The sequence below is a fragment of the Homo sapiens genome, chromosome 14 (genome assembly GCF_000001405.40).
Source record: "Homo sapiens chromosome 14, GRCh38.p14 Primary Assembly".
NCBI classification, from domain to species: domain Eukaryota; kingdom Metazoa; phylum Chordata; class Mammalia; order Primates; family Hominidae; genus Homo; species Homo sapiens.
In genome coordinates this window covers 24,172,005-24,195,780 of record NC_000014.9, presented here as the reverse complement: position 1 = coordinate 24,195,780, position 23,776 = coordinate 24,172,005, and the positions used below count along the sequence as shown (strand labels likewise).

General features: G+C 55.2%; 3 protein-coding genes across 14 annotated transcripts, besides 6 other annotated features; 2 read left to right on the top strand and 1 right to left on the bottom strand.

The window, feature by feature from the left end:
- Positions 61 to 760: an enhancer, noted in NCBI's record as "H3K27ac hESC enhancer chr14:24664227-24664926 (GRCh37/hg19 assembly coordinates)". NCBI's record gives its function as "activates a minimal SCP1, AML or CMV promoter by ChIP-STARR-seq in naive H9 embryonic stem cells {active_cell/tissue: H9 hESC(naive)}" and the evidence as "EXISTENCE:reporter gene assay evidence [ECO:0000049][PMID:30033119]".
- Positions 192 to 251: a silencer, noted in NCBI's record as "silent region_5632". NCBI's record gives its function as "represses an Ori minimal core promoter by ATAC-STARR-seq in GM12878 lymphoblastoid cells {active_cell/tissue: GM12878}" and the evidence as "EXISTENCE:reporter gene assay evidence [ECO:0000049][PMID:35858748]".
- On the top strand, positions 340 to 6,632 carry TM9SF1 (transmembrane 9 superfamily member 1). Of its 3 annotated transcripts, none has more exons than NM_001289006.2 (6): positions 340 to 435; positions 951 to 1,106; positions 2,512 to 3,133; positions 3,425 to 3,610; positions 5,128 to 5,401; positions 5,973 to 6,632. In NM_001289006.2, exons 2-6 carry the CDS (start codon positions 1,023 to 1,025, stop codon positions 6,364 to 6,366), a joined length of 1,560 nt encoding a protein of 519 aa, NP_001275935.1. In that variant the 5' UTR covers positions 340 to 435; positions 951 to 1,022; the 3' UTR covers positions 6,367 to 6,632. The 3 variants fall into 3 exon arrangements, with proteins under 3 accessions (NP_001275935.1, NP_006396.2, NP_001014842.1); NM_006405.7 differs by having other exon boundaries at positions 745 to 1,106; NM_001014842.3 differs by lacking the exon at positions 5,973 to 6,632 and having other exon boundaries at positions 745 to 1,106; positions 5,128 to 5,743.
- Positions 392 to 571: a silencer, noted in NCBI's record as "silent region_5631". NCBI's record gives its function as "represses an Ori minimal core promoter by ATAC-STARR-seq in GM12878 lymphoblastoid cells {active_cell/tissue: GM12878}" and the evidence as "EXISTENCE:reporter gene assay evidence [ECO:0000049][PMID:35858748]".
- Positions 6,633 to 6,964: 332 nt separating the features above from the next.
- Positions 6,965 to 15,562, top strand: IPO4 (importin 4). Of its 2 annotated transcripts, none has more exons than NR_051979.2 (30): positions 6,965 to 7,062; positions 7,143 to 7,229; positions 7,358 to 7,437; positions 7,524 to 7,565; positions 7,985 to 8,114; positions 8,202 to 8,381; positions 8,631 to 8,696; positions 8,802 to 8,903; positions 8,990 to 9,073; positions 9,330 to 9,494; positions 9,599 to 9,652; positions 9,811 to 9,920; positions 10,214 to 10,322; positions 10,469 to 10,598; positions 10,801 to 10,914; positions 11,018 to 11,131; positions 11,363 to 11,483; positions 11,672 to 11,783; positions 11,883 to 11,998; positions 12,114 to 12,191; positions 12,268 to 12,325; positions 12,426 to 12,531; positions 12,612 to 12,805; positions 12,939 to 12,989; positions 13,358 to 13,503; positions 13,618 to 13,826; positions 13,938 to 14,070; positions 14,164 to 14,268; positions 15,023 to 15,092; positions 15,209 to 15,562. NR_051979.2 is itself a non-coding variant. In NM_024658.4 (30 exons), the coding sequence occupies exons 1-30, from the start codon at positions 6,994 to 6,996 to the stop codon at positions 15,337 to 15,339; spliced, it is 3,246 nt and encodes a 1,081-aa protein (NP_078934.3). In that variant the 5' UTR covers positions 6,965 to 6,993; the 3' UTR covers positions 15,340 to 15,562. The 2 variants fall into 2 exon arrangements, 1 of the variants encoding a protein (NP_078934.3); NM_024658.4 differs by having other exon boundaries at positions 13,378 to 13,503.
- Positions 7,394 to 7,513: a silencer, noted in NCBI's record as "silent region_5630". NCBI's record gives its function as "represses an Ori minimal core promoter by ATAC-STARR-seq in GM12878 lymphoblastoid cells {active_cell/tissue: GM12878}" and the evidence as "EXISTENCE:reporter gene assay evidence [ECO:0000049][PMID:35858748]".
- Positions 7,759 to 7,969: a silencer, noted in NCBI's record as "fragment chr14:24657018-24657228 (GRCh37/hg19 assembly coordinates)". NCBI's record gives its function as "represses an EF-1alpha promoter that drives an FKBP-Casp9 reporter gene in an ReSE screen in HepG2 liver carcinoma cells {active_cell/tissue: HepG2}" and the evidence as "EXISTENCE:reporter gene assay evidence [ECO:0000049][PMID:32094911]".
- REC8 (REC8 meiotic recombination protein) lies at positions 14,858 to 23,701 on the bottom strand. Of its 9 annotated transcripts, NM_005132.3 has the most exons (20): positions 23,416 to 23,701; positions 23,173 to 23,314; positions 23,000 to 23,068; positions 22,740 to 22,882; positions 22,583 to 22,655; positions 22,370 to 22,490; positions 20,157 to 20,238; positions 18,880 to 18,959; positions 18,559 to 18,640; positions 18,398 to 18,428; positions 18,240 to 18,316; positions 18,023 to 18,072; positions 17,559 to 17,690; positions 17,109 to 17,175; positions 16,865 to 17,004; positions 16,648 to 16,696; positions 16,318 to 16,384; positions 16,055 to 16,186; positions 15,875 to 15,981; positions 15,527 to 15,771 (listed from the first exon to the last, which is right to left on the bottom strand). In NM_005132.3, exons 2-20 carry the CDS (start codon positions 23,226 to 23,228, stop codon positions 15,686 to 15,688), a joined length of 1,644 nt encoding a protein of 547 aa, NP_005123.2. In that variant the 5' UTR covers positions 23,229 to 23,314; positions 23,416 to 23,701; the 3' UTR covers positions 15,527 to 15,685. The 9 variants fall into 9 exon arrangements, 8 of the variants coding, with proteins under 8 accessions (XP_024305562.1, XP_011535723.1, XP_016877330.1 ...); XM_024449794.2 differs by having other exon boundaries at positions 14,858 to 15,981; NM_001048205.2 differs by having other exon boundaries at positions 23,173 to 23,701.
- Positions 23,471 to 23,720: an enhancer, noted in NCBI's record as "active region_8193". NCBI's record gives its function as "activates an Ori minimal core promoter by ATAC-STARR-seq in GM12878 lymphoblastoid cells {active_cell/tissue: GM12878}" and the evidence as "EXISTENCE:reporter gene assay evidence [ECO:0000049][PMID:35858748]".

Sequence of the window (23,776 nt, the reverse complement as noted above, 5' to 3'; positions counted from 1 at the left end):
AGGGGCCGCAGCAGCGAAGGCCCTCTGCGTTCCAGGCAAGGAGCTTTCCGCCAGGCTGAGGTCGCCGCCGGTGAGGGCGGAAGTGGTAAGACTGACGTGTCCTGGGCCGCGCTGCCGATCGCCGGGAGGACCCCCGCCTCGCCGAAGACGGGCGGGGCAAGCCGAGCCTCACGGGGTCCCCGGAGCTGGGCCGGGCCTCCAGATGGAGAAGGCGCAACGGGGAGTTCTTGAGTAAGCCAGAGCGGTGTCCAGCGCGGTGTAGCCGCAGCCGCCGCTGTCAGGCGCAGCAACGGGCAACCCCGTAGAAGTCGGTCGGCAGGTCCTCTCCAACCCGCCGCTACCGCGCCGCTGTGGGAGAGACCCCAGCAGGAGCCCAAAGGCAGCTACGGGGGCGCGAAGGCCGCTGGCGCCGCCTCGGCCAGCCCTTCCCGCGCGGTGAGGACCCCGGGGCTGTGGCGGGAAGGGACCCGAGGTGCGAGACCGAGCGGCGTTGCCATGGAAACGGGCCAGGGCGCGTAGTAGAGGCCCCGGGCCAGACGGGCTGCGGGTGGGGTGAACCCCAGGTTGGGAGGATGAGAGAGCAGAGGTGGAGCGGGGTCTTTGGGATAGAGAGACGTGGGGTAGGGTGAGGCGGGGAGGGGGCCAATGGGAGCAAGTGGAGCCAGGGGACCTCAGTTCGAGGCACCTGACCTGGGGTTTCTGTAACCTCCCTGGTTTCTATAACCTCAGGATTCCCCCAAACAGGTTCCACTGCCTTAAGGATGACAGTCGTAGGGAACCCTCGAAGTTGGAGCTGCCAGTGGTTGCCAATCCTGATACTGTTGCTGGGCACAGGCCATGGGCCAGGGGTGGAAGGCGTGACACACTACAAGGCCGGCGACCCTGTTATTCTGTATGTCAACAAAGTGGGACCCTACCATAACCCTCAGGAAACTTACCACTACTATCAGCTTCCAGTCTGCTGCCCTGAGAAGATACGTCACAAAAGCCTTAGCCTGGGTGAAGTGCTGGATGGGGACCGAATGGCTGAGTCTTTGTATGAGATCCGCTTTCGGGAAAACGTGGAGAAGAGAATTCTGTGCCACATGCAGCTCAGTTCTGCACAGGTCAGCCTCTCCACATTGGCTATCACGTAGCCCTCCTTCCCAGAGACTAACAGTGCCTTACATTTATGGTTCAGGGTACCTTTATGGAAATTGTCTGATTTGATTCTAACTACAATACAACCCAGTGTGGCAGGCAGGTTAGGTGATGCTATTCTAATTCAGTTGACTAAGATACATACTTGCTCAGAAGTTACTTTTTTCAAGATTACATGGACAGTGATTTGCAGAACTGATATCAGAGCCCAGGGTTTCTTACTGCAAGCTTCTCTGTTGGTCATGAGGTCCCAACTATCAGTCCCACATAGTTCTGTTTCCTTCCATGCCTACCTCTTGGCTGTTTCTTAGCTGTTTCCTGTAGTCTCTACCTAAACTTCCCTGTCATGCTTTTTCTTTAGTGAATCCTGGTACTTCTCCTTAGTCCACTCCAGACCTCCTTATACCTCACCGCTCTCCTTTTTCTAGGCCTTAACCCTGTCAAGCCATACTTGCTCTTTTTTGGAGAATCTCAACATACTAGAGTCTAACCCAGTGATTGTCAACAGGGAACAGTTTTGTCCCCCAAGGGACATTTAGCAATGTCTGGAGACATTTTTTGTTGTTACAGCTGGGGGGGTACTACCAGCATAGAATGGGAAGAGGCCAGGAAAGCTACATCCTACAGTGCACGGGATAACCCCACTATGACAAAGAATTATCCAACCCAGGCTGGGTGTGGTGGCTCACTCCTGTAATCCCAGCACTTTTTTTTTTTTTTTGAGACAGAGTCTTGCTCTGTCGCCCAGGCTGGAGTGCCGTGGCGCAATCTCGGCTCACTGCAAGCTCCACCTCCCGGGTTCACGCCATTCTCCTGCCTCAGCCTCCCGAGTAGCTGGGACTACAGGCGCCCGCCACCACGCCCAGCTAATTTTTTGTATTTTTAGTAGAGACGGGGTTTCACCGTGTTAGCCAGGATGGTCTCGATCTCCTGACCTCGTGATCTGCCCGCCTCGGCCTCCCAAAGTGTTGGGATTACAGGCATGAGCCTCCGCACCCGACCAATCCCAGCACTTTGGGAGGCCGAGGCAGGCAGATCATGAGGTCAGGAATTTGAGACTAGCCTGGCCAACATGGTGAAACCCTGTCTCTACTAAAAATACAAAAATTAGCTGGGTGTGGTGGTGGGCGCCTGTAATCCCAGCTACTCGGGAGGCTGAGGCAGGAGAATTGCTTGAACCCAGGAGGCAGAAGTTGCAGTAAGCCGAGATCGCACCACTGCACTCCAGCCTGGGTGACAGAGCAAGACTCCATCTCGAAAAAAAAGAATTATCCACCCCAAAATATCAGTAGTGCTGAAGGTGAGAAACTTTGCTGTAACTCTGCGCCTGGGGAGATCTTGTGTGACCAACTCCTGACTTGCTCTTTATAGGTGGAGCAGCTGCGCCAGGCCATTGAAGAACTGTACTACTTTGAATTTGTGGTAGATGACTTGCCAATCCGGGGCTTTGTGGGCTACATGGAGGAGAGTGGTTTCCTGCCACACAGCCACAAGATAGGACTCTGGACCCATTTGGACTTCCACCTAGAATTCCATGGAGACCGAATTATATTTGCCAATGTTTCAGTGCGGGACGTCAAGCCCCACAGCTTGGATGGGTTACGACCTGACGAGTTCCTAGGCCTTACCCACACTTATAGCGTGCGCTGGTCTGAGACTTCAGTGGAGCGTCGGAGTGACAGGCGCCGTGGTGACGATGGTGGTTTCTTTCCTCGAACACTGGAAATCCATTGGTTGTCCATCATCAACTCCATGGTGCTTGTGTTTTTACTGGTGGGTTTTGTGGCTGTCATTCTAATGCGTGTGCTTCGGAATGACCTGGCTCGGTACAACTTAGATGAGGAGACCACCTCTGCAGGTTCTGGTGATGACTTTGACCAGGGTGACAATGGCTGGAAAATTATCCATACAGATGTCTTCCGCTTCCCCCCATACCGTGGTCTGCTCTGTGCTGTGCTTGGCGTGGGTGCCCAGTTCCTGGCCCTTGGCACTGGTGAGGTGATAAAAATGAATTGGGGATTTATCTCATGGGATAGAACTAGGTAGGGAGTTTGTTCAGAAAAGGTCTGTGGATCTTCTCTTCTATCCAGAGGGGCAGACCTAAGGGATAGGGTGGCTCTAGCAAGAATGCACGTATTCTATTGTAGATTTTCTGGATAGCAAAACTGGGGGAGATTGTTTTGCTGGAGGCCCTGGGTCTGGGAGAAGGGGGGCTGATTCCTCTGAAATTGCTAGAAGAGACACAGGTGAGGCCTAACTTGGGCTTTCCGCTACCGTCCTGCAGGCATTATTGTCATGGCACTGCTGGGCATGTTCAATGTGCACCGTCATGGGGCCATTAACTCAGCAGCCATCTTGTTGTATGCCCTGACCTGCTGCATCTCTGGCTACGTGTCCAGCCACTTCTACCGGCAGATTGGAGGCGAGCGTTGGGTGTGGAACATCATTCTCACCACCAGTCTCTTCTCTGGTGAGGACTTTCCTTTCCCTGGTGGGCCTTTCTGGACTTAGGAATGAAGAACACATTGTGGCTGGTCACAGTGGCTCACACCTGTAATCCTAGCACTTTGGGAGACCGAGGCCGGAGGATCACTTGAGCCCAAAAGTTTGAGACAAGCCTAGACAACATAGTGAGACCCTCTCTCTATAACAAAAAATTAGCCGGGCATGGTGGTTCACATCTGTAATCCCAGCTACTTGGGAGGCTGACCCAGGAGGATTGCTTGAGCCTGGGGAGCCAGGGAGGTTGAGGCTACAGTGAGCCATGATTGCACCACTGCACTCTAGCTGGGCTGACAGAGTGAGACTGTCTCAAAAAAAAAAAAAGAACACATCATAGAACTTGGGATAGAGTCAGGATGAGGCTTGAAGGGAAGGAATATTGTAAAAGAAAGAAGAAAACCAAAAAAAAACAAGAATGCATTTCTTTTGAATAGTTTAAAATTACTAAGCCCTCAAAATGTCCTAGGCAGTGTGGAAAGCACTCAGCAATAACTGTGTGAAGTAGGTAATATTTCCATTCCACAGATGAGGAAACTGAACTAAAGGCTGCTTAAGTAACTTGTCTGAGATTACACTCCTAAAAAGTAGTGAACTAGGTTTCAGCAGTCTGACTTGTATTCTCACCCATTACACTAAAATAACACCCTTGAATTTTTATTTTGAAGGTGGGCCCACTCTAGGCTTTCAAACCAGATTGCCCTTTCAAAGGCAGTAGTAGTCTCTGTTCTGAACCCTTCTTGTTCCCAATTCTGTGTGTCTGATTTTTATCCCATCACATTTATATTTGAACCAAGGCTTTCTGAAAACAGGGCCTTAATCCAAAGGAATGTCTCATGCTAGGAATTACCAACTCCAAGGCAAGACAGGCCCCTGGAGGCAGATGGATTTGTGCTACTCTCAGATTATGTAGTAGCTACCTGGATCCTTAATGACACCGGGTTGGGGGATGGTGTTGGTAAGATAAAGAGCAAAGAGTCCGGGTGTGGTGGCTCATGCCTGTAATCCCAGCACTTTGGGAGGCTGAGGCAGGCAGATCACCAGGTCAGGAGATCGAGACCATCCTGGCTAACACAGTGAAACCCCATCTCTACTAAAAATACAAAAAATTAGCCGGGCGTGGTGGCGGGCGCCTGTAGTCCTAGCTACTCACTCGGGAGGCTGAGGCAGGAGAATGGCATGAACCTGGGAGGCGGAGCTTGCAGTGAGCAGAGATCGCGCCACTGCACTCCAGCCTGGGCGACAGAGCGAGACTCTGTCTCAAAAAAAAAAAAAAAAAAAAAAAAAAAACACAGAACAAAGAATAATGGGACCTGAAAGGGTGGAGGTGAAGGCAGTCGACTCTGCAGGGACATCCAGGAGCATGAGTCTGCCGTTAGAGTGGCAGGCTGCTTCAGCCCCCTCCCCTTTTGGTCCTGGATGTAAGTGGGTGCCCTTAGAGATGTAGCTCCTAGTGTTGACCCTCCCTCCGGGGGCCCATCCCTGCAGTGCCTTTCTTCCTGACGTGGAGTGTGGTGAACTCAGTGCATTGGGCCAATGGTTCGACACAGGCTCTGCCAGCCACAACCATCCTGCTGCTTCTGACGGTTTGGCTGCTGGTGGGCTTTCCCCTCACTGTCATTGGAGGCATCTTTGGGAAGAACAACGCCAGCCCCTTTGATGCACCCTGTCGCACCAAGAACATCGCCCGGGAGATTCCACCCCAGCCCTGGTACAAGTCTACTGTCATCCACATGACTGTTGGAGGCTTCCTGCCTTTCAGGTATCCTCCCTTTATTCCATGGCTATTACTGTCAGGTTCCTGACCTCAATTTTTCCTGTCCCTACTCATCCAGTACCCTAACCCAACCCGTTGATCCCTGGTTCAGTGGTACCATTCAGAGATCATTAAATGGTTCCTCCTATCCCCAAGCAGGACTGAGCTTGAATGATATGAGAGTGTCTCACTTATAAAGCTCTCCGGAGACATTTCCCCCTTCACCTTCCTGGTTTCTGACTTTAATGCCTATGGACATCATGTGGGGTTTAAAGCCCATTTGATGACCCATTTACTTTGTTGAATACCTCTTTGTGCCAGGCAAAGAATAAAGTGGAATAAAATGGACAAGATCCCTGCCCTCAATCTATTAGGGAAGATATTCTTGAAGTGAGAGCGGCTAATCATAGGCAAAAAATCCCCATGAAGCCAGGAGATCTGGGGCAGAGAGTGGAGTGAACTCACTTTTCACAATGACCCAGCAACATGGGAGAGGGTGGGGGCTGGATTTCAGCCCAGCCACTGTGCTGATGGTGCACAGCCCTTTAATGCTGTGTATCATCTCTTTTCTTCACAGTGCCATCTCTGTGGAGCTGTACTACATCTTTGCCACAGTATGGGGTCGGGAGCAGTACACTTTGTACGGCATCCTCTTCTTTGTCTTCGCCATCCTGCTGAGTGTGGGGGCTTGCATCTCCATTGCACTCACCTACTTCCAGTTGTCTGGGGAGGATTACCGCTGGTGGTGGCGATCTGTGCTGAGTGTTGGCTCCACCGGCCTCTTCATCTTCCTCTACTCAGTTTTCTATTATGCCCGGCGCTCCAACATGTCTGGGGCAGTACAGACAGTAGAGTTCTTCGGCTACTCCTTACTCACTGGTTATGTCTTCTTCCTCATGCTGGGCACCATCTCCTTTTTTTCTTCCCTAAAGTTCATCCGGTATATCTATGTTAACCTCAAGATGGACTGAGTTCTGTATGGCAGAACTATTGCTGTTCTCTCCCTTTCTTCATGCCCTGTTGAACTCTCCTACCAGCTTCTCTTCTGATTGACTGAATTGTGTGATGGCATTGTTGCCTTCCCTTTTGCCCTTTGGGCATTCCTTCCCCAGAGAGGGCCTGGAAATTATAAATCTCTATCACATAAGGATTATATATTTGAACTTTTTAAGTTGCCTTTAGTTTTGGTCCTGATTTTTCTTTTTACAATTACCAAAATAAAATTTATTAAGAAAAAGGCTCATGCAGTTGGAGGTTTTGGTCTGGATATAGGAACTCGAGCCCTGCTGTTAAGGGCACGGTCCTTTATAAAGCCGAGCTGGCCACTGAATGCCCGAAGCTCGAGTTCTCCAACCCAGCTTGGGAACTCCCGGCGTGGGGAACCTACATTGCCAGAGTCGGGTTTCCGCGATTCAGCCGGTGCTCAGCCTAACGGAAGTGGAGGAGCCGGACCTCTTTGTGGGAAGCGAATTGAATCACCTTGGCAACCCGCGGGGCGTGCAGCAACGCCCTTTCCTCCGGAAGTGGGTGTCAGAACCTCCACGTGCTGTCCCTCCCCCTCCCCTTTTCGGCCCAGTAGCGGCGGCTCAGTTGCTGCCATGGAGTCAGCCGGGCTAGAGCAGCTCCTACGGGAGCTGCTGCTACCGGACACCGAGCGCATCCGTCGGGTACGGAGCAGGCGTAACCGGGCCAGGGCGAGCGGGAGGTTGCGGGAAAGGCCCAACTCTCACCCCTAGCTTCCCCCCAGGCCACGGAACAGCTCCAGATCGTTCTTCGGGCCCCCGCCGCTTTGCCGGCTCTCTGCGACCTGCTAGCCTCGGCGGCCGACCCCCAGGTGAGACCCCTGACTCTCCCCTCCGAGCTTCCCACTGTACGCCACCGGTCAAGCCCCAGTATTCGCCCACTGCGGTCCGCTCAGCACCTTCCTGCCCGGACCCCCACGTGCTTGCTTCCTCGTCCTAGATCCGCCAGTTTGCGGCCGTGCTGACCCGCAGACGACTGAACACCCGCTGGCGACGGCTGGCGGCGGAGCAACGGGAGAGGTGGGCTGGGCCTGGGGTGGGGCGGGGCCAGGCGGAGACTTTTCTTGGGCAGGCTGGGTACCAAACACCTGCCACCTGTGTTCCAGCCTCAAGTCCCTGATCCTGACGGCCCTGCAGAGAGAAACAGAGTAAGTACCTACCCACTTCTCTCGGGATCTTGACGACTTTGTCTAGGTTTCTGCCTTCCTTTTCGGCTCCAGGCTGGGACTTGTGGGGCAGGGACTTCAGTTCTAGACGCAAGGTGGAGTGAGGATTTTAAGGCTGTTTTGAAGACTAAAGTTCTTGAGGAAGGGTGATGATGATCTGCCAAACCCAAGTCAGAAGAATAAGACTGAAATTCAGGCTAAGTTAGACTGAACTTACCAGATTACATGCCCACAGTGCTGTTGGGCTCCCTCTGAGCTGCTGTCTCATGTGTCCCAACTTGGCAAAGACCCTGTGCCCACACCTCCTGAAAGTTTCTGTCCTGGCTGCCCCATTGAGCCTGGCCACTGTGTGCAGAGGAAGGTATTGAAGGGTGATTGGAGGAGATCTCTCCTGTTTGCAGGCACTGTGTGAGCCTCAGCCTGGCCCAGCTCTCAGCCACCATTTTTCGAAAGGAAGGCTTGGAGGCCTGGCCACAGCTTTTGCAGCTGCTTCAGCACAGTACCCACAGCCCCCACAGCCCAGAGAGAGAGGTACCATCACATGGTTGGCAGGAGGGAGGGCCTGAGAGGCTGGATAGACCTTGTAAGCTTGCTCTCCCATCCTCTATTCTTGGACAGATGGGGCTTTTGCTGCTAAGTGTGGTGGTGACCTCCCGGCCCGAGGCCTTCCAACCCCACCACCGGGAGCTTCTTCGGCTTCTGAATGAGACTCTTGGTGAGGTGGGCTCTCCTGGGCTGCTCTTCTACTCCCTGCGCACTCTGACCACCATGGCTCCCTACCTCAGCACTGAAGATGTGGTGAGATGTGGGCCCTCGTTATCTTTGACTCCCTTTCCTCATGCCTTCATGTCCTCACCCGTAAAAGTTACAAAGCTGCTTTGGATTCTTTACCTGCCTGTGGCCCTTCCTGACAATTGAGAGGGGATGCTGTAGGTGGGCCTGGCTGTTATGCCTGGGCTCCTCCTCGCAATTCAGGCTGTGAGGAAGCTGCCAGCTGCTGGGGTGTGAGATTGGGCTGCATCATGCTCTCTGTGATGTGTCCCTCAGCCTCTCGCTCGGATGTTGGTGCCCAAGCTGATCATGGCCATGCAGACTCTGATCCCCATAGATGAGGTGAGGACAGGTGGGCAGGAGCTCTGTTGGAAGGAGAGTGCAGAAGTGTCCAGTTTGGCCCACTGAAGAAGAGCATGGTAACCTTGTGCCTTGTTTGTCTGTCAGGCAAAGGCCTGTGAGGCCCTTGAGGCTTTGGATGAACTGTTGGAGTCAGAGGTGCCGGTCATCACCCCCTACCTCTCTGAAGTCCTCACATTCTGCCTGGAGGTGAGCCTGGAGTGGACATGGCCCCTGCTACATGCTCTGCTGGGACTCTCCTTCCCTGTCGCTGATTTTTATTATTCTGTGGACAGGTAGCTAGAAATGTGGCCCTGGGCAATGCGATACGCATACGTATTCTCTGCTGCCTCACTTTCTTGGTCAAAGTCAAGAGCAAGGTAAGTGAGTGCCCATTGACACACATCACCCCACCCCCATCTCCACCCTTAGTCTCACTCCTGGGGCTTTCGGTCCATCTCAGGGTATCTAAAGTACTGTGGGGGTTCAAGCCTTGGCCTGGCCTCACCCCAGCTCCTGCCTGGGAGGTTGGGAATTTTCTGTCAGACCCCTTATGGCCTGGAAGACTGGAATTTTTAATGTGAGCCCATCCTGGGAGCAGATTCTTAGGGACACTGTTCCACCTTCTCTGTCAAGGCCTTACTGAAGAATCGTCTCCTGCCACCCTTGCTGCACACCCTTTTCCCCATTGTGGCTGCTGAGCCCCCACCAGGCCAGTTGGATCCCGAGGACCAGGATTCAGAAGAGGAAGAGTTGGAGATTGAGCTGATGGGGGAGACTCCCAAGCATTTCGCTGTACAAGTGAGATGTGGGGCAGGACAGAGGGGGAAGGTGTTAGGTGGCTGTGGGACGTTGGGGAGGCAGAGATGGAGTCAAGCAAAGTAAGTCTCCCCATCCCATCTCAGGTTGTGGACATGCTGGCACTACACCTGCCCCCCGAGAAGCTCTGTCCCCAGCTGGTAAGTGTGGCTCTGTCCTTCTGGTGTCCCTACCTCCAAGTGTGCCTAGTCCCCCTGAGGCCAACGACGTTTAGACCCTGGGAGGTGTGAAGGCCTATTACCACAGGAATGGGCAGGCTCTTGCTGGGGTTTCAGAAGCGTGCCACATGCTTCCCTAGATGCCCATGTTGGAAGAGGCTTTGCGGAGCGAGAGCCCATACCAGCGCAAAGCTGGACTCCTGGTGCTGGCCGTGCTGTCTGACGGAGCTGGCGACCACATCAGGCAGAGGTATGTATTCCCCTGTCCCAGGGTGAGGGTTGCCCACAGGGAGGACCATGGCTGTCCTGGTTTACGCTTGTTGTTCAAGCTTATTTATCAACAGCGTTTCCCCCCATTATCAAAAGTGTCCTGGCTTGGAAGATAAATGACATGGCTTACCAGCTATAGGGACCAGGGGCTGCTGCCCACCCTCTGGTGACAGGAAAAGCCTTGGTTTTTCCAGGGAAAATGAAGAGAACAGGTCAGCCTAGGGCTCTCAGGTGTAGCTTCTCAGCCTATGTCCTCTTGTTTGCCCCATCCAGACTGCTGCCCCCACTGCTGCAGATTGTGTGCAAGGGCCTGGAGGACCCCTCGCAAGTTGTACGCAATGCTGCGCTGTTTGCCCTGGGCCAGTTCTCAGAAAACCTACAGGTGAACCAGGCTGAATGTGGGAGCCACCACTTGAATGTCCCCTTCCCCTCATCTTTCATCTCTTCAAGCATCCCTGCTGCCATCAGCACTCTTGTGTGTGCCCGGCAGGTGAACCTGACTCAGGCCCTGCTTGCTCCCTCCCCCAGCCCCATATCAGCAGCTATTCAAGGGAGGTAATGCCACTGCTCCTCGCCTACTTGAAGTCGGTGCCTCTTGGACACACACACCACCTAGCCAAGGCCTGCTATGCCCTGGAGAATTTTGTGGAGAACCTAGGTAGTGATGGCAGTGGGGAGCTTGGGGAAGGGGGATGAGGCGGCGGCTTTGGCTGAATGTACAGGATGTGCATCTCCCTGCATTGCTGCCTGTGGTAGGGGAAAGGGTGTGATGGTGCCAAAAAAAGGTTTCCGCCTGGAGGGAGGTGGGCGTGCAGGTAGCAGACCTGGGTTGGTTGGTAGAGGAGCATCCTTTCCCACAGGGCCCAAGGTGCAGCCCTACCTTCCGGAGCTTATGGAATGCATGCTGCAGCTTCTGAGGAACCCCAGCAGTCCCCGGGCCAAGGAGCTGGCTGTGAGCGCCCTGGGAGCCATTGGTGAGGAGAGAGGCAGGAGGCAGGGATGTGGGGTTCACCCAAAGGCCCTGTGGCTGGTGGTCCCTGCCCTCTCCAGCTCTGATTCTGTCCTTCCATCCTGCAGCTACGGCTGCCCAGGCCTCGCTGCTGCCCTACTTCCCTGCCATCATGGAGCACCTGCGGGAATTCCTGTTAACAGGCCGTGAGGACCTTCAGCCTGTGCAGATCCAGAGCCTGGGTGAGTGAGAGGTTCCCAGGTGGGGCTCCCAGTGCCAGCAAAGGGCTGGTGCTCACCTGGTGTTGACAGATTGCCCCCACAGGAGCACGGATGTCTTCCTTCTCATCAAAGGGGTGTGCTTCATGCTGTACCAAGGGGTGGGGCGGGATTTCTGAATCCCTCCCAGCCACCACCTTTGGTCCCGTAGCCCACCTCCACCTCCTGGTGCTAATGGAGCCCTTGCCCCCACAGAGACACTGGGGGTGCTGGCACGAGCAGTGGGGGAGCCCATGAGGCCGCTGGCTGAGGAATGCTGCCAGCTGGGTCTGGGCCTCTGCGACCAGGTAGACGACCCTGACTTGCGGCGCTGCACGTGAGTGACCCCTCACCCTGCCTCTGCCCTTGTCCCCTCCCCTCCTGTCTTCCCACTGGACCCACTGGAATCCCCACCCCAGACTCCAGTCGTCTGGTTTGGACCATAGCCAGGTGTTCCCGGGCTCCCCCATCCTGCCTGGTGGTAGCAGGCAGGACCTTACAGCTTCTTCTGCCTGCTTTGACCAGGTACAGCCTATTTGCAGCCTTATCGGGTCTGATGGGTGAGGGCCTGGCGCCCCACTTGGAACAGATCACCACGCTCATGCTGCTGTCACTGCGTTCCACCGAGGGCATTGTGGTGAGCAAAGGGTGGGTGGGCTGGGCCAGGCCTGCCCTGCAATGGGATTTATCTCCTGGGCCCAGCTGAGCCAAAGTCCTTGCCGTGCCTCCGCTCCAGCCTCAGTATGACGGGAGCAGCTCCTTCCTTCTGTTTGACGATGAGAGTGATGGGGAAGAAGAGGAGGAGCTCATGGATGAGGATGTGGAAGAAGAGGATGACTCAGAGATCTCAGGGTGCGGAGGGGTGCTCTTCTGATCAGGAATCTAGACTTTGGCTTTAGACAAGGGCCTAGTGCTGGATCTGCTCCTCTTGGTGCCTGATCACCACTGCCTCCCCTTCTTACTCTAGGTACAGCGTGGAGAATGCCTTCTTCGATGAGAAGGAAGACACCTGTGCTGCCGTGGGGGAGATCTCTGTGAACACCAGGTGAGCATTCGCCCTTCCCTGGCACTGAAAACCCTGCCTGGGGGCCCCTTACCCACGGCTGTGTCTCTCTCTGTAGTGTGGCCTTCCTTCCATACATGGAAAGTGTCTTTGAAGAAGTATTTAAACTGCTGGAGGTGAGCGGGCCGGCGGGTGGAGTGGGTGGGGTTCTCAGGCTGGGGGCCCTGTGTTCACGGTGCACATAGCAGACATATCCCGCCCCTCCTCATCCTGCAGTGCCCTCACCTGAATGTGCGGAAGGCAGCCCATGAGGCTCTGGGTCAGTTTTGCTGTGCACTGCACAAGGCCTGTCAAAGCTGCCCCTCGGAACCCAACACTGCTGGTGAGGAGAGGCTGGGCCAGGCTGGGGGTTCTTGGGGAGGGGCAGGGCCTGACTGGTGCTTCAGCCAATAATGTCCCCAGCTTTGCAGGCTGCCCTGGCCCGAGTCGTGCCATCCTACATGCAGGCAGTGAACAGGGAGCGGGAACGCCAGGTGGTGATGGCCGTGCTGGAGGCCCTGACAGGGGTGCTCCGCAGCTGTGGGACCCTCACACTGAAGCCCCCTGGGCGCCTCGCTGAGCTCTGTGGCGTGCTCAAGGCTGTGCTGCAGAGGAAGGTGAGCAGGGCAGGTGGGCTTCGGGAAGGAGAGGTGCTGGGCCTCGGTTGGGGACTGGCTACAAGTCCACCCCCTACCCCCATGAAAAGAGAAGGGGCGTGAAAGCTCCGCTAAGTTGAGCTACTTCTTGTAGACAGCCTGTCAGGATACTGACGAGGAGGAGGAAGAGGAAGATGATGATCAGGTGAGAGCCAGGGATAAAAACGGGGACCAGGCGGTCCAGGCAGTCTCCACAGGGACAGGGGTGGACAGTGTATTTGGGCTTGGCCTGGGGCAGCCAGGGCCACTAAAAGAGACTGGTAATGGCCAGAGGGATACAACCCTGATCCCACTAAGCCAGTGGGAGTTCAGGGAAGGAGAGCAGTGTGGACTGGGGTGTGCTTGGAGTGATAGGTAGGAGCAGAAGAGCCAGGGGAAGAAGCTGGGTCATGGAAACACCCAGCTTGAGAGGGGCCAGCCCTATCAACCAAGGGCAGCCCCAGGGACCCCTGCAGCTGGTGGCAGAGCGTGGGAGGGAGGTGTACAGTCACTGAGCTGGCCCTGGTGCTCCAGCCCCTGACCTGGCTCCACAGGCTGAATACGACGCCATGTTGCTGGAGCACGCTGGAGAGGCCATCCCTGCCCTGGCAGCCGCGGCTGGGGGAGACTCCTTTGCCCCATTCTTTGCCGGTTTCCTGCCATTATTGGTGTGCAAGACAGTGAGTGTCCATCTTCTGGCTTCAAGCCCTAGTCCCCTCGTGCACCCGGTGCCCACCACAGCCTTTATCCTTGGCCCAGGCTGATCTGTACTCCTTCCTGTTCTCCCCCATCAGAAACAGGGCTGCACAGTGGCAGAGAAGTCCTTTGCAGTGGGGACCTTGGCAGAGACTATTCAGGGCCTGGGTGCTGCCTCAGCCCAGTTTGTGTCTCGGCTGCTCCCTGTGCTGTTGAGCACCGCCCAAGAGGCAGACCCCGAGGTGCGAAGCAATGCCATCTTCGGGATGGGCGTGCTGGCAGAGCATGGGGGCCACCCTGCCCAGGAGTATCCTTGGCTCGCAGGACGGGAGGGACTGGAGGTTGGGGGAGTGTCCCCAGGGCTTGCAGGTGGGCAAGGTCTACCTGAGCGTGTGGCCATTCCTTGACTGTGGACCAGACACTTCCCCAAGCTGCTGGGGCTCCTTTTTCCCCTCCTGGCGCGGGAGCGACATGATCGTGTCCGTGACAACATCTGTGGGGCACTTGCCCGCCTGTTGATGGCCAGTCCCACCAGGAAACCAGAGCCCCAGGTGAGGGAGGGAGACATCAGGCAGGGCTTGGAAGCTGAGGAGGGAGGGTGGTGGAGGGCAGGGCAGGTTGGCCTGAGACATTTGTGTGCCCAGGTGCTGGCTGCCCTACTGCATGCCCTGCCACTGAAGGAGGACTTGGAGGAGTGGGTCACCATTGGGCGCCTCTTCAGCTTCCTGTACCAGAGCAGCCCTGACCAGGTAACCTTGCTGCTGGCAGCCCTCAGAGGGGAACGTGCCGCTCCACTCAGTGATAGGCACTGTCTGCTGATGAGGCTCGGGAGCTCCAGGCTGTCAGTTGCACCTGATGCAAGGTGACAGTTTCAGCTGTTCTTTTGGTACTCCCTGCACCATTTCTTATTTGTCTGCAAGGATTGGCAGCCAGTCCTGTGATGGGACAGGAGGGACTTCCTTTCTCCACGTAGCATTTTTCCTGAGGAAGCTCCATTTCTACCCTTTGGTCTGAGCCAGAAGTTGCAGTTTTCCTAGGCTGGTTTCCTAAACCGGGGCCCTTTCAAACTGTGCTCTGTGGAGCCCAGGGTACCTCTGGGCCACCACACCATACATTTCAATCAGATCAGCTCTGCTCTCTGAAGAGATTTTGCCTGTACCAAGTAGCTAGGTTTGGAGTCATGTCAGAGTGTTTGTGTCACCCTTGTCTTATACCTTTAGAGACTGTTGTGTAGGTGAAGCTCCTGAGTGTCTGGGTTTCTTTAGGTCTTGAGGCTATGACTTTAATCATCTTGTCCCACATCCCCCATTCCCTCCAAAAAAAATCATTAGCACCAAGTTTCATTGGTTCTTCTCATGTTCATAGTTGTCTTGGATGCCTGTGAATCAGTACCAGGTGCAACCACCCCCCTGATAAGAGATTCTGCCACTCCTTGGTCCTGACCACCCTCCTAGACCTGGGGTCTGGGGCTGCTGCCCTGAGTCAGCCACTCTTTCCTCACAGGTTATAGATGTGGCTCCCGAGCTTCTGCGTATCTGCAGCCTCATTCTGGCTGACAACAAGATCCCACCAGGTGAGGGTAGGAGTCATAGGCAGGGGCTTGCGGGAGGCTGGGAGTGGCAGGGCTCAGAGAGCCTGGGGCAGCGAGGCTTTAGGAGCCCCGACCTTTCTCCCTCCCTCTCCACCCAGACACCAAGGCCGCACTGTTGCTGCTCCTGACGTTCCTGGCCAAACAGCACACCGACAGCTTTCAAGCAGCTCTGGGCTCACTGCCTGTTGACAAGGCTCAGGAGCTCCAGGCTGTACTGGGCCTCTCCTAGACTGCAGGCTGCAGCCAGTCCAGAGAGAATAGAGCCTGCCCAGGCCTTAAGACCACCTCTCAGCCCAGTTCAGTTCTGCCTTACCAAAGATTCTGAGACTCATACCCATTTGGAGCCAGCCCCACTTGCTGCCTTACAGGGCTGTCCCTGAGGCTGGATCTGTTACAAATGAGTCATGACATCATACTGTAATAAAAGCAGCTTGTTTTCTGCTTGAACAATAGCTCTGAGAGCAAGAAGGCTGGAAATGCACATTCAGAAATGAGGTAAGCAGGACCCAGTGAGGCACGACGTGGTTTACTAGAAGTGGCCGGTTTCCTGGCAGCTTTGTAAATGGACTCTAACCTCAGTGGAATCTGGGCCCCGGCTGGATCAGGAGGCGACCATATGGCTTTTCTTGTTTCACGTGAAGAATCTGTTGCGCTGAGAGCACTGGTCAAGAGGCGAGGAGAGGGCAGGTCGGGGGAGTCCCTGTACGGGCCTCTGGTCTCTGTGTCCCTGCCCCACATACACACACACACATGCATACACTCACCCAGGAGCAGGTAGAAGACCCGGGCAGCCATCCTGCGGGGGCTGAGAGGTGACACCAGGCTGCTGAAGTCGGGCTCCCTGTTAGCCTGCAGCTCCAGTGCCACTGCCCTATAGGGATCAAGAACCATTAGCAGAGGCTTCAGCCCGGGTCCACCCCATCAAGGTGCCACCTCCCTGGTACCTGTGCACTGCTTCCAGTGAGAGCAGCTCGAGCTCTGGGGGCAGCACCAAAGGCATCTCCATGGGCACCTCAGGGAGTTCAGGCACCACGGGCAATGCAGGAGCTTCTGGCGCCTCCACCTCAGGCCAGGCCCTAGGAGGACATGAGAGAGTAGGGAAGGTGGCAGCTGTGACAGTGACAAGGGGCATACCCATCCCAGCAGCTGTTTCCACCACCTGGCCAAGGGCTGTGGGCCCTGGCTCCCACGGAGCCTGGCCGCTTACCACCGTTCTTCTGGTGGGATGAGGCTGATGCGGGACTTCTCCTCTTCAGCTGCCTCTAGGGAGATCTCTGTTGGGGGAGGAAAGGCGCTAGTGGGTGTCTGCTTGGGTGGCAGTTAGGGCCTTGTGGCCACCTGGTGTAAGTAGATGGCAGAGCCGTGCGGTGACTTGTTAAAAGCACATAGGTGGGAGAGCTGAGGAGGACCAGTCCGTGCTTCCTTATGTCACACACACACGCCTTCACTCATAAAACAGCTTCAGCAGTTGGGATACTAGTTTCCTGGGACAGTGGTTAGGGTGTGGTCCCACTGCGCCTCTTCTCTAGGTGCTTACCTAAAGACACCATAAGGGGAACACTGGGCTCCAGGGCCTCCCTCGGGACCTGGGGATGGGAGAAGTAGAACTAAGACCCCAAGCATCTGGGACTTGGGCCTCAGAAGGCACAAGGCCAGTGAGCCTGTGCTGTTGGCTCTCATAGCAGGAGAGGGCAGCCAGCTGGTCAGGCAGACCCTGGCACTGGGGCGATGCAGTAAACAGGTGGTGCAGTTACCTCAATCTCACTTGGAACTTCAATCTTTCTCCTTTCCTCCTCAGCGGCTGCCTCCTCAGGCAGCTCTCGCCTGAGGGCTTTTGGGGGTGGCTGGGCACAATGGGTCCAGAGACCCAGTAGTTCAGGGGGTAGCCAGCCAGCTGTGGACAAGAGGGTAGTAGGCACGGGGTTTGAGGCGTGAGGAGCACCAGGAATGAGGAATTGGTTTTGAGGATACTTCGTGCCCAACCCCCACCATTCTTACAGAGAGTTGGGGTTCTGAACAACTCCGCAGGGCCTCTGATGGTCCTCTCGGGCGGCTGCACCATAGGCTGTGTAGTGGGGGAAGGTCAGAAGCCCCATTATAAAGCAGCCACTCCTCAGGGCCCCTTTGCCTCTTTGCAATGCACTGTTCTGGGGCTTCTGGACTTCCCCAGCTTTTGCGCTCATGACCCTGCCTGCCCTGCTCATTGCTAAAAGAAGGACTTTTTAACCTGGTGCCCATGGGTATGACAGGTGGGTCACTAAAGGAGCATGAAGAGTTGTATATGTGCAAACCCACATCGCCTGCATTTTCTGGAGAATGGAGGAGATTTTTCATCAAGTTCCCAATCCTCCCCCCACCCACCTGAGGAGTTTGGAAGGCTCAGCCTGCATGTGCCCCTGGTCATCCCTGCCTCCCTCCCTTCCCCGGCAAAGCCTGGGCTGCACTCACACATTCCCAGCAGTGGGCTCTGGTTTGCAGTTGTTCCTGGAATTTCTCCGGGGAGATCTGAGTCTCCTTGTCCCAGAACAGTAACCGGCGACGACGGCGGCGGCGAGGAGGTGGGGGGACTGGGGGCCTCCTCTGTTGAGTGGGGAGGGCAGGTAGGGGCAAGGCTGCCCATTACTCCTTTTCCTGTCATTCTGGTGGACTGCTAACAGGACCCCACACCCGCCCCTAGAGGAACCTGGAGAGGGCTTGTGCGGGGTCTCCATGCACTTGAGCAGCTCATACCTTGCATAAGGGTACCCATCTGGGAAGCGTAGGCCAGATACGATGGGGCGTAGAAAGGGGCATCTTTTATCATCTGCATTAAGGACCCCTGTAAGCTAGCAGTGGCCCTGGGCTTGGGGAGGCAGTCCTTGTGGGGGAGGGCAAAGAGGAGGAGGAGGAGGATTAGAAGGGAGGCTACTCACCTCTGGGCTGGGTGGGGCTGGCAGACGCAGCTCCTCCGGGGGGGTCACCTCTGCAACAACACCCAAGGGGCTCTGTCCCATAAGCCCCTTACCCCTTGCAGATGCCAGGGCAAGAAACTGCAGGGTCCTCCCTTTAGCAAGTTGGGATATAAAGCCCTTGTCTGCAGCAGTATCCAGGTACTCCCAGAAAAGCCCCTGGGGCATGGTGGGCACTCACCCATGAGTAGGGCCCCAGGTTCCCAGCCTGTCAGCCTCAGCTCCTCAGGACCCAGTGCCTCTCCTATTCCTTCCACCCTGAGGGGAAATGGGCAAGAGAAATGAGGAGACCCTTCCCAGCACTGACACCCTACCTGGTCTAGGAGTTCTTGCCCTTACTCTGCAGGAGCTGGAGGTGGGAGCCGCGGGACTGTGGAGAGAGAATCAGAGTTCAGAGGACAGAAAAAGAGAAATGGGAGCATTGCCCAGTCCCAGAATGCCCACGCCAGGGGTCTGACTATCCAGCTCCAGGCGGGCCCTACGCTGCCGGAGACACCTACTTTCTAACAAGATAGCTTCTTCTTCCTCTGCGATCAGCAGGTCCAGTTCTCGGCGGCTGACCTCTGGGAGCTCCCGTTCACCCTGTCCAGAGAGGAAGAGCAAGGGGAGGGGATTCAATAATATTTCTGAAAAAGGCAAGTGGATCCAGGAGAGTGGATCCCAGAGGCATGCCACAGGGCCAGGTTCAAGGAAGCCACTGGGTGCTCAAGTGCCAGGGACAGAGAATAGGGAAATGGAGACAGAAAAGGCAGGACTCTGGGGACAGAGAGAAGTACATGCAAGGGGGCTGGACCTCAGGCCCTGTGTGCAGGGGAACTCACCTCAATCTCCAGCATCCGTATGGGCTCTGCCTCCAGGATCGTGATGGCCTCAGGTGGCAGCACAGTGACCGGAATCCTCTCTGGAGGGACAAGAGAGTCACTAGCCTCTCTGCTTCTTTCCAAATTCCCACAGCCATGCAGTTAAGGAAAAGCATGGACTCTGAAGTCAAGGTAACCTGGATTCTAATCAGACCCAGGCTAATCTCTGGCATCCTGACCCTGGGTACACTGCTTAACCACTGTGAGCCTCACTTTCCTCATCGGTAAAGTGGGGAGGCTGGGCGAAGTGGCTCACACCTGTAATCCCAACACTTTGGATCGCTTGAGCCCAGGAGTTTGAGGCCAGCCTGGGCAACATAGCGAGACCCTGTCTCTACAAAAAATTTAAAAACTAGCCAGGTGTGGTGGCTTATCCTTGTGGTCCCAGCTACTCTGGAGGCTGAGGTGGGAGGATTGCTTGAGCCCTGGAGGTCAAGGCTGCAGTGACCTATGATCATCATACCACTGCACTCCAGCCTGGGAAAAAAAGAAAAAAAAAAAAAAAAAGCCGAGTATGGTGGCTCACGCCTGTAATCCCAGCACTTTGGGAGGCTGAGGTGGGTGGATCAACTGAGGTCAGAAGTTTGAGACCAGCCTGGCCAACATGGCAAAAACCCATCTCTACTAAAAATACGAAAATTAGCTGGGCGTGGTGGTGCATGCCTGTAATCCCAGCTACTAGGAAGGAGAATTGCTTGAATCCGGGAGGCGGAGGTTGCAGTGAGCCTAAAGTGCACCACTGTACTCCAGCCTGGGCTAGAGAGTGATACCCCATCTCTCAAAAAAAAAAAAGGATAAGAAATCTGACCTCAGAGGACTCTTGTGAGGTACTGATGAGGTTATACACATAAAATGCCCCTCACCAGGCACGGTGGCTCACACCTGTAATCCTAGCACTTTGGGAGGCCGAGGCGGGTGGATCACCTGAGGTCAGGAGTTTGAGACCAGCCTGGCCAACATGGTGAAACCCCATCTCTACTAAAAATACAAAAATTCGCCGGGCATGGTAGTGCACATCTGTAATCCCAGCTACTAGGGAGGCTGAGGCGGGACAATTGCTTGCAGTGAGCCGAGATCGTGCCACTGCACTGTAGCCTGGGCAACAGAGTGAGACTCTGCCTCGAAAAAAAAAAAAAGCGCCCCTCACAAGGCCTGGCTCTTAAGCTCAAAAATGGTCATTTCTACAGCTCTTGGGCCTGCCTATGCCTCTCACCAGAAAGAAGGTTCTCTCTGCTGACCTGGCTCCCTGGGCTCTGTAGGAACTTCAGGAGGGATCTCTTCAACTCTCTCTGGGATTGCAGCCTCTAAGAGGTGTCGAATCTTTGGAGAGGGATTGGAAACAAAAGATAGGGTTCAGCTTCAGCCCCCTGCTTTCCCACTTTTCACAGCCTTCTTCAACAATGCACGGTAATCTCCTTTTATGCCTAATTCTTGTTGCATTGACATCAGCTTGCAGTAAACTCACCCGCCCTCTGGTCTTCTTTCCTCAGTTCCTGTTCTCACCTCCCTCCCCAACCCGCACCCCAGTTATCTAGCCCTCATCAATTTGTGCAAGAAGGCCGGGCTCGGTGGCTCATGTCTGTAATCCCAGCACTTTGGGAGGCTGAGGTGGGTGGATCACTTGATGTCAGGAGTTCCAGACCAGCCTGGCCAACATCGTGAAACCTGATTTCTACTAAAAATACAAAAATTAGCCGGGCTTGGTAGCAGTGCCTGTAATTCCAGCTACTTGAGAGGCGGAGACAGGAGAATTGCTTGAACCTGGGAAGCAGAGATTGCAGTGAGCTGAGATTGAGCCACTGCACTCCAGCCTGGGTGACAGAGCAAGACTCTGTCTCAAAAAAAAAAAAAAAAAATTTGTGCAAGCAGCAGTGCATCGTTATCCTTGGCAAGTGTTGTGGTTGACAGAGGTGAACAGAAAAGATTCTTGATCTTAAGGAAGTCTAGTGGGGAGACAAGGTTGTATGTAACCCCACAAGAGTCAAGGCAAAGGGTAAAACAAGGCCCTAGCAAAGTACTGAGTTCCCAAACTGCATTTGGTTCCGGCTAAGACTGGGATAAATATTTCATAGAGAAGGGCAGCATTTGAGCCAGGTCTGTAAGAATATGTAGAACCCGACTTGTAGAGGATGAGGGGTGACCATTATGGGCTAGGGAAACAGTACAAGCAAAGATGTGAATGTGGCATCATTGAGGCATAAGGGCCAAACTAGTGTTTAGGAGCCACAGATGCCCAGAGGACTGAGAGAGAAGTCTGGGGATGACTAGTTCTAAACTGGGGTATGTGCCAGGCACGGTGGTTCACACCTGTAATCCCAGCACTTTGGGAGGCCGAGGCGGGTGGAGTGCCTGAGATCAGGAGTTCAAGACCAGTCTGACCAACATGATGAAACTCCATCTCTACTAAAGATACAAAAATTAGCCGGGCATGGTGGCAGGCATCTGTAATCCCAGCTATTCGGGAGGCCGAGGCAGGAGAATCGCTTGACCAGAGGAAGCGGAGGTTGAAGTGAGCCAAGATCATGCCACTGCACTCCAGCCTGGGTGACAGAGACTCCATTTCAAAAAATAATAATAATAGGCCAGCGCGATGGCTCACGTCTGTAATCCTAGCACTTTGGAAAGCCAGGGTGGGTGGATCACCTGAGGTCTGGAGTTCGAGACCAGCCTGGCCGATAAGGCGAAACCCTAAAAAAATTGGGCCGGGCTCTGTGGCTCATGTCTGTAATCCCAGCACTTCAGGAGGAGGAGACAGGCAGATCATGAGGTCAGGGGTTCGAAACCAGCCTGGCCAGCATGGTGAAACCCTGTCTCAACTAAAAATACAAAATCAGTTGGGCATGGTGGCAAATGCCTGTAGTCCCAGCTACTCGGGAGGCTGAGGCAGGAGAATTGCTTGAACCGGGGAGGCAGAGGTTGCAGTAAGCTGAGATCGTGCCACTGCACTCCAGCCTGGGCCACAGAGCAAGATCCTGTCTCAAAAATAATAATAATAATAGTAATAAAATAAAAAAAGAAATAAATGGGGCATGGAGAGCCCCAAATGCTAGTAATCTGTTTGCAGCAGGAGCCACTGTTCAAATGGGGAACCAAGGAAGGGGGTGACATTAAGCTGTAGGAGTATTGGGAATAGATGGAGGAGGACAGGGGTAAGAAAGCCCAGTGCAGAGAGATGAGAGCCTGGATTAGGGCCTTGGCAGTGAAAACAGTGTGGAGACAAGTGGGGACAAGAGCTGCCTCCAGTGGGGAAACCGTCTGATCAGATTGGCCCTGAGTAGGTAAGTACAGGGGGCTTCGCCTGGATGGGTCCACCTTGGCAGTCCCCCTGCACCATCTCCTGTGGGAGAGAGCTGTGGTAAGCTTCCTTCCCCAACCCCAATGTCAGAGTGACACAGGGACAGCACTCCCCTTCTGCATTGCCAATTCACGAGTCTTGGGGAATGAGCCCTACCTGAGGGATATCGAAAGGACTAGGAAGTCTGGGATCCACAGACATCATCCCAAAAAAGGGATCTGGAGCATCTTCTAGGGTCTCCATCATGGCCAGGTGGTTAGGAAGCAGCAGGCTGGGTCTGGGAGAGAATGTAGGCCGTGAAGGACTGAGGCTGAGCCAGGCTGAGGCCAAGCTAGCAGGTGTTCCATCAAAGGCCCAGGGCACACTCACAGCTCAGTCTCCATATCTATTCGGATCTGCAGCTGGGCACGGTGGAGGCGCTCCAAGATGTGCTGGATGTCCTCTGTGGGCAGGGAGGACGAGGTAGACAGCCAGCTTAGCAGACAGCTGCTCAGCCCGCCCCACCTTTGAGGGTTCCCAGCCTTACCCACGAGGTACTGGCATTGTTGAGAATAGACGCGGATCACACCGATCTGAAGTTGGGCTGAGAGATAGAGGGAGAAGCGGGGCCGCGGCAGGCCGGGCTGCGGGGGTTGCACTCGTACCAGCACGTAATTGAGGATTTCCTCGCTGGGGAACAATGCGCCCTGATTACCGCTGCGTCCAGGAGTGGGCCCACAGTCTTGGCCACCCCATCCCCTAACTCACCCCCCGCACCAGGCCCTCCTTCCCTTTTCTGGGCCTTACCAGGTTTTCACCACATTCACCCTCAGGTATTCGCGCTTCACCAACCGGCTGCCGCGAGTCGCCGCCAGCCTGAAGTGGGTGGGGAAGGTGGGAGAATGGGGATGGAGGGGGAGCTGTCAGGCTGGGATCCCGGGCAGCGTCCGCCATCGCGCGCCAACGGGCCCCGCCCTTACCAGATGGTGGCAAAGCAGCCGGTGTGGCGCTGAAGCACGTTGGGATAGTAGAACATTGTCCCTCTGGTCTTTCACCCTCGATTCCACCAGATCCCCGTTCGGATCTGAGTCGGAATTCTTTAGGGCACAGAATTCCCAACACCTTGGAGAGAAGTCAGGATTTGGACTTCTCTGGTGGCAAGGTGGGTGCACCTAGAAAGCCAAGTTAATGAGGCAACGAACAATGGGCAGATACACAATTACCAGGATAACTGAGACGCAGGAGATGGGCGCCCCTCTCTGTGGACCCTCAGTGGATCCGCACGCCACGTGATGCGTCAAACTTGAGACTTCTGGGTTGGGTTCCAGGTTGGAGATGCAGAGCTCCAAGGGGACGTCCGGGCCGGAATCCAGAGCAGGTCCCGAGGGAGCACGGTGTCCTCCACAGCAGGCCTCGGTCCTCGAGCGCTGGGAGCGATGTCAGGCCCCTGGGCCTTGCACTGGCTTGGGCGGCCGCGGTGTGGCCCCGGGCCGCCTACTGCAGGACTAGATCGCACCGCGGGAAGCGAGCGCTTCGGGGCACCGCACCTCGCTCCTCATTAGATGGCGGCTTTTGCCCTGACAG